Source organism: Homo sapiens, chromosome 2 (assembly GCF_000001405.40).
Source record: "Homo sapiens chromosome 2, GRCh38.p14 Primary Assembly".
NCBI lineage: Eukaryota > Metazoa > Chordata > Mammalia > Primates > Hominidae > Homo > Homo sapiens.
The window spans coordinates 221,124,427-221,131,718 of NC_000002.12; the positions used below are offsets into that span (position 1 = coordinate 221,124,427).

General features: G+C 42.5%; 1 annotated feature.

Annotated features, from left to right (window-relative positions):
• Positions 467–991: an enhancer, noted in NCBI's record as "NANOG-H3K4me1 hESC enhancer chr2:221989613-221990137 (GRCh37/hg19 assembly coordinates)". NCBI's record gives its function as "activates a minimal SCP1, AML or CMV promoter by ChIP-STARR-seq in naive H9 embryonic stem cells {active_cell/tissue: H9 hESC(naive)}" and the evidence as "EXISTENCE:reporter gene assay evidence [ECO:0000049][PMID:30033119]".

Consider the following 7,292-nt stretch of genomic DNA (forward strand, 5'->3'; position numbering starts at 1 on the left):
AAATCCAATTCCAAGAACAGCTTTCAAGTTTGAGAGGTTTTCTATCTGTTCCATGAAAGCACAAGGAGTAAGAAGCATTAATTGCAAAGAGCATTTCGATATAAAGACTCCATGGAGCATTCAGTACTTCCTCTATGTGAATTTTCAGTAGGAAAAAAAATAGGTCTTTCATGAAAAACAATCTCAGACTACTCCCTTCCACTCAGAATTCATAATTATGCTTAATCTGCTGCTCCTCTTGGCTCGCTTACAGGTCCTGTTGGCAGGTAGTGAATACAAAATGAATTTAATGGGGGGTCCCCTGGGAATGGAGCAAAAGTTTTAGCATTTACCGGTTCACAATGGAGAAAGGCCAGCTGTTGGGAGCCCTGAGCTCCACGGCCACAGCTCCCCCAAAGCAGCCACGCACATGGATGGCTGCAGGTCAGCAACCTGGGAAAGAAGAGGCAGCCGCTGGGCAAAGGATGGCCCTAATGTGAGAAAGCGAAACAGGACTGCAAAGCTGCGTGGCTCACCAGCAACAGAGCCAGACAGGCAATCCCTGGTGAGATGTGGCAATGCCCAGCATGGGGTGTGTTCCTGTCTGCTTTCCTTTGGCAGAAGGCTGCCCCAAGGGCAAGTGCTAATGAGAGTGAGGCGCTTGGAGATGGGAGATGCTTGAGTCCATCAAAGAGCTCATTCAGAGCTGCCCTGTCTCCACCACCCACTCAGGAGCTGCTGAACCAGCTTAAGTTACTATCCTCTCCACATTCCTAAAGGTATGGTTACTTACAGACCCACCGGACAGCCTGGGAGTAAAAGAGAAAGCATTTCTCACTCTGTGTGTGTGTGTGTGTGTGTGTGTGTGTGTGTTAGATACTGACATTTTGTGGTGTGTATTTTGTTTGTGTTTATGTGTACTTTAATTTATATTTAAAATAGATTTGAAGGAGTGATAATGCTACCAATTCCAAAGAAAGCTCTTTGTGTCTATCACAATCATTCACTCACTCATTCATCCTTTCATTCATTTAAACATTCTTCAGTATTTAGCGCATTAGATTATAAATCACCTGTGCCCTTTTTAAAAATAAAGTTGTCATCAAACGGAAATTTCTTTCACTGTGGTTTATAAAAACACTCATTCTCAAGCGGCCAGCATTTTGCAGAAATATTCCGTTTTGCTTTATTCTTTGTTTTAGGAAAAAGATTGTTTTAAATGTATTCTTTTTCACTCCTGATTTCTGTAAGCCCTTAATCCTATATATGACATGCATGTATGTATATATGTTTGTATGTGTGTATACATACATTTATTCATTCATAAAATTATTTATTAAACACCTACTATGTGCTGGGGTCTGGCCTAAATGCTGGGTGTGGAAAGAGGAGTAGGACACAGTCCAGACTTTTGAAAGTCTCCCTGACAATGAGAAAACGTGTATGTCAACAAGTCCAATCCTGCAAGCTATTAAAGCATCCAAGAGTAGTGTGTATTAGTCACCACAACAACCCCCACAATATGACTTTTTGCACTGAGGTGGGAGGATCTTAGATAGAAAAGGATGCCTGACTTGGATCCCACTGTTACACTTCAGTTTTAATGAAAAACACCAACAACTATGCGTTTTTCGGATTTATCTCCAGCATCTCTATTTTATTTTGAACAAGCCCCATAATAAAGTCACAGTTAATAAGGGTCACAGAGTATTTAAAGGGCAATAGCCACACTCTTAGTGGGGGCCATAGAGCTCTGGACTGTTCAGATGAAGAGGCCAGGCAGCATGAACTCCAATATGTGCAATTTATACATGAAAAACCTGAGGCCCTCACAGTGAGAAGAAAGGATCATTTGCTTGAGATTAGAATGTCTAGGATCATTTGCATGGGTCCTTAGGCATCTTTAAATTCTATAGAGACCCAAACAGTTCAATATTCAATTAAAAAGAAAAGAACAAAACCCTAGATGATGAGAGCGTGTTTTAAATCATCCCTGGGAAATTTACAAAAAAACAAATCGGACAAAGAGCACGATTTAACATCTTTTCATTACAAGGAACATTTATTACCTATTTTGAGGACCTAGCACTTTTTGTAATAACAGCTGGTTAGATGAAATACAACACACACACCATTTCTTAACTAACACTAAATAATGGCTGTTAAGTCCACTACCCTATCCTCTCAGGTGGTGGTCATTTAGCTGATACCTGTGTCTCTGCAGCCTTGGAAGTTTATTTATTGCTTTGTTCAACAAACATTTATTAAGCATCTCTTTTGTGCCAGGCACTGTGCCTGTAACCTTCAAGAAGTATGGAGATGAAAGAATCAAAAATTATTTGTGTTGGACAAATTGTAATATGAAGTAAAAGTATAGCAATGAAAATATGAATGACACTGATATGGTTTGGCTCTGTAGCCCCACCCAAATCTCATCTCAAATTGTAATCCCCTTGTGTCAGGGAAAGGGACCTGGTGGGAGGTGATTGGATCATGGGGGTGGTTTCCCCTATGCTTTTCTCATAATAGAGTTCTCACAAGATCTGGTTGTTTGATAAGTGTGGGCTCTTCCCGCTTCTTTTCTCTCTCTCTCTCCTGCTGCCTTGTGAAGAAAGTGCTTGCTTCTCTTTCGCCTTCCACCATGATTGTAAGTTTCTTGAGGCTTCCCCAGCCATGTGGAACTGTGAGTCAATTGAACCTATTTTCTTCATAAATCACCCAGTCTCAGGTAGTTCTTTCTAGCATTGTGAAAATCGACTAGTAAATAAATTGATACCGGGAGTTTGGGGCACTGTTATAAAGATACCCGAAAATGTGGAAGTGACCTTGAAACTGGGTAACGGGCAGAGGTTGGAACAGTTTGGAGGGCTCAGAAGAAGAAAGGAGGATGTGGGAAAGTTTGGAACTTCCTACAGACTTGTTGAATGGTTTTGACCAAAATGCTGATAGTGATATGCACAATGAACTCCAGGCTAAGGTGGTCTCAGATGGAGATGAGGAATTTATTGGAAATTGGCATAAAGGTCACTCCTGCTATGCATGAGATTGGAAGGATTGTGCACCTGCCCTAGAGATCTGTGGAAGTTTGAACTTGAGAGAGATGATTTAGAATATCTGCTAAGCAGCAGTGTTCAAGATGTGACCTTGCATTTCCTAAAAGTCTACGCTCATATGCATGAAGAAGAGATGTTCTGAAATTGGAAGTTATGTTTAAAAAGGAAGCAAGCATAAAAGTTTGGAAATTTGGCAGCCTGACTACGTGGTAGAAAAGAGAAACCCTTTTTCTGGAGATAAATTTAACCCAGCAGCACAAATTTGCATCAATAACAAGGAGCCAAATGTTAATAGCTAAGACAATGGGTAAAATGTCTCCAGGGCATGTCAGAGATGCTCACAGCAGCCCCTCCCATCACAGGCCCAGAGGTCTAGGAGGAAAAAGTGGTTTCATGGGCCAGTCCCAGGGCCCCACTGCTCTGTGTAGCTCTGGGATATGGTACCCTGTGTCCCAGTCATTCCAGCTCTAACCATGGCTAAAGGGGGCCAAGATACAGCTCAGGCCAATGCTTCAGAGGGTGCAAGCCCCAAGCCTTGGCAGTTTTCATGTGGTGTTGGACCTGTGGGTGAACTGGAGAGAAGAGTTGAGCTTTGGGAGCCTCTGCCTAAATTTCAGAGGGTGTATGGAAATGCCTGGATGTCCAGGCAGAAGTCTGCTACAGGGGTAGAGCCCTCATGGAGAACCTCTAATAGGGCAGTGCAGAGGGAAAATGTGGGGTTGGAGCCCCCACACAGAGTCCCCACTGGGGCACTGCCTAGTGGAGCTGTGAAAAGAGGCCACCATCTTCCAGACCCCAGAATGGTAGATCCTCTGAGAGCTTGCACTGTGCACCTGAAAAAGCTGCAGGCACTCAATGTGAAAGCAGTCATGAGGGCTATACTCCACAGAGCCACAGGGGTAGAGCTGCTCAAGGCCTTGGGAGCCCACTCTTGTATCAGTATGGCTTGGATGTGAGACATGGAGTCAAAGGAGACTACTTTGGAATTTTAAGATTTAATGACTGCCCTGTTGGGTTTTGCATTTGCATGGGGCCTGTAGCTCCTTTGTTTTGGCCAATTTCTACCATTTGGAATGAGAACATTTACCAAGTGCCTATACCCCTATTACATATTGGAAGTCACTAACTTGCTTTTGATTTTACAGGCTCATAAGCAAAAGGGACTTGCCCTGTTTCAGATGAAACTTTGGACTTGGACTTTTGGGTTAATGCTGGAATGAGTTAAAATTTTGGGGGACTGTTGGGAAGGCATGATTGTGTTTTGAAATGTGAGAAGAACACGAAATGTGGGAGAGGCCAGGGGAAAAATGATATGGTTTAACTCTGCTTTGTGGCCCCATCCAAATCTCATCTCGAATCGTAATCTCCATGTGTCAGGGAGGGACCTGGTGGGAGGTGATGGATCATGAGGGTACTTTTGTCCGTGCTGTTCTCATGATACAGTCCTCACGAGATCTGGTTGTTTGATAAGTGCATGGCTCTTCCCCCTTCTCTCTCTCTCTTGCTTCCTTGTGAAGAAGGTACTTTCTTCCCCTTCACCTTCCACCATGATTGTAAGTTTCCTGAGGCCTCCCCAGCCATGCAGAAGTGTAAGTCAATTAAACCTTTTTTTAAAAATATAAATTACCCAGTCTTAGGTAGTTCCTTATAGGAGTGTGAAAACAGACTATTACAAATGCTTATTAGTTTTATTAATAATAGTAAGGCCATTGTATAAAACAGGCATCCACACACGTGGAAATAAATCAATATAGGAAAGGGAAAACCAACAAATAGGAATGACTAACAGACAATTAGTTTCCACGCATCAAGAGTATGAGAGCTTTGTGAATTTGGCAAAGCTGGATTTGGATGTTTCTGTCTTTGCTTAGGACCAGTTTAGAAAATACAAGATAGGCCAGGCATGGTGGCTCATGCCTGTAACTGCAGCACTTTGGGAGGCCGAGGCGGGCGGATCATGAGGCCAGGAGGTCGAGACCATCCTGGCTAAGACGGTGAAAACCCGTCTCCACCAAAAATTCAAAAAATTAGCCAGGCGTGGTGGTGGGCACCTGTAGTCCCAGCTACTTGGGAGGCTGAGGCAGGAGAATGGCGTGAACCTGGGAGGCGGAGCTTGCAGTGAGCCGAGATTGTGCCACTGCACTCCAGCCTGGGCGACAGAGTGAGTCTCTGTCTCAAAAAAAAAAAAAAAAAAAAAAAAAAGAAAGAAAGATAATAGATAATCTTCATTTGCTGCTGTTTCCCTCTGCTGCTCCAACTTTTTCAGTGATTCTGTTTCAACAAGATCTGAATGGAGTTCTTTTAATGTGGGGTCTTACAAACTTACTGTGGTTTGGTGTGTTTTACTTCTTCTAATCTCATGTTGAAATCTGATCCCCAATGTTGGAGGCAGAGCTTAATGGGAGATGTTTAGGTCATGGGGATAAATCCCTCATGAATAGATTAATGTGTCCCTGGAGGAGTGGTGGTGAGTCTCACTCTATTAGTTCTCTTGAGAACTGGTTGTTAAAAAGAGCCTGGTACCTCCTCTCTCTCTCCCTCTCTCGTCATGTGACCTGTACACACCTGCTCCCCTTCACCTTCTGATATGAACAGAAGCAGCCTGAAGCCCTAACCAGAAGCATGTGCTTGTGCCATGCTTCTTGTACAACCTGCAGAACCATGATCCAAATAAACTTCCTTTCTTTATACACTACCCCGCCTCAGATATTTCTTTCTAGCAACACAAGTAGACTAAGACAGTAAGCAAGGAACACGTGTAGAATCCAAACACTGTGGCCAGGTTTTATACAGGTTTCTAAAAGGCTTCTGCTAGAAGTAGAGGTGCTATCATCTAATCACTAATTCTGCTGCACAAGGAAACGATAAGCTCTTCTTTCCATGACCTATCAGTTAATAGGACTCAGGCTGCATTGTGCTTTTTCTTTTCTGAGGTATCCTATCATTGATGTTCACATTTATTCTTACTAGACTAAGATTAATCTCTCTCAGTAATGTTTAGGAAGATGACTGCCTGTAGGAGCCCCTCAGTGTCTCCCCTATATTCTCTAACACAGCTTCTCCAGTGTCAGAAGATCTGAAATAGTTTCCACTTTCCTCTACTGCTGCCATATTTCCCTGACGTTTTCTGTACCTTATTTCCCCTACACTCCTGCACTGTGTAACTGCTGAATCACAAACACTTCCCCCAGGATGGTCAGCAAAACCACAGCTTGTCTTATTATCTGTTGCTCTTTGCTTTGGGTCTGTTGAAAAATCAGTGCAAGAAATGATGTTCTCTCCACTGCTAGCAGATGTCCCATGCTGAGACCCATGACTGGACCTCCTTTGTTTCTCCTTTGCAAAGCTATCTTTTTCCTGTGCCTGCCTGTCTCCCACCTGTTGGCCCTCTTAGAGGATACTCATCTACCAGCCTAGGTGAAACTCAAAGCTTCTGTGACAATGACAAAAATATATACAATATTATTTACAGAGAAACATTTGTTCATAACAATTCTGCTGCAAGCTTCTTGATCTTTGTGATTTCATCAACATCATTTTCCTTCTTAAGCCTCACTGGCTTCCTTTCTGATCCCTGAACTTGACCAGGCATCCCTGTCTTTGGACTCACTGTCTGTTCTCTCTTCCCTCCGTTCTCTCACCATCCTTCCCTCTGCATGTCTGCCAACTTCTTGTCATTAGAATCTTAGCTTAAAAGCTTTCCTAGAAGATGCCCTCCCTCTAGGGCTGGGTCAGAGAATGTAAAAGATGTGCCTGGAAGACCTTGTGGTGCCAGAAAGTAAGGAAGTATCTAATGATAGAGACATGTCCAGAGGACACAGGGTCTAGCACAAAGGAACTTCCACTTGGACATTCAGATAATCAAGATAAATAATAGTAAACAATTACAAGACACTAAATAAAATGAGAACCTAAGAGTCCACGCTGACATAAATAAATCCAGAAAGGAATTGGGAAACACAATATAGAAGGAAAGATGGGATTAGAAATTAATATTTGGAAACGATCATAATAATAATTGATTCAGGCAAAAATTATAGGAACTATGATTATAGACCTGGGTGAAAGTTTGAGAAGTAATGGTATTTATAAACTATCTCCCCACAAAATATTTACTAATGCAAAGGGAAAAATAGTAATTTTACAATAAAGAAACATGTCAGATACTACCTTAGCCAAGTGATCAAAATTCACATCATTAGTAATGGGACAAATTGACATCACGTGCCCCTTAATAGGATGCCCAATATTGCCTAATGG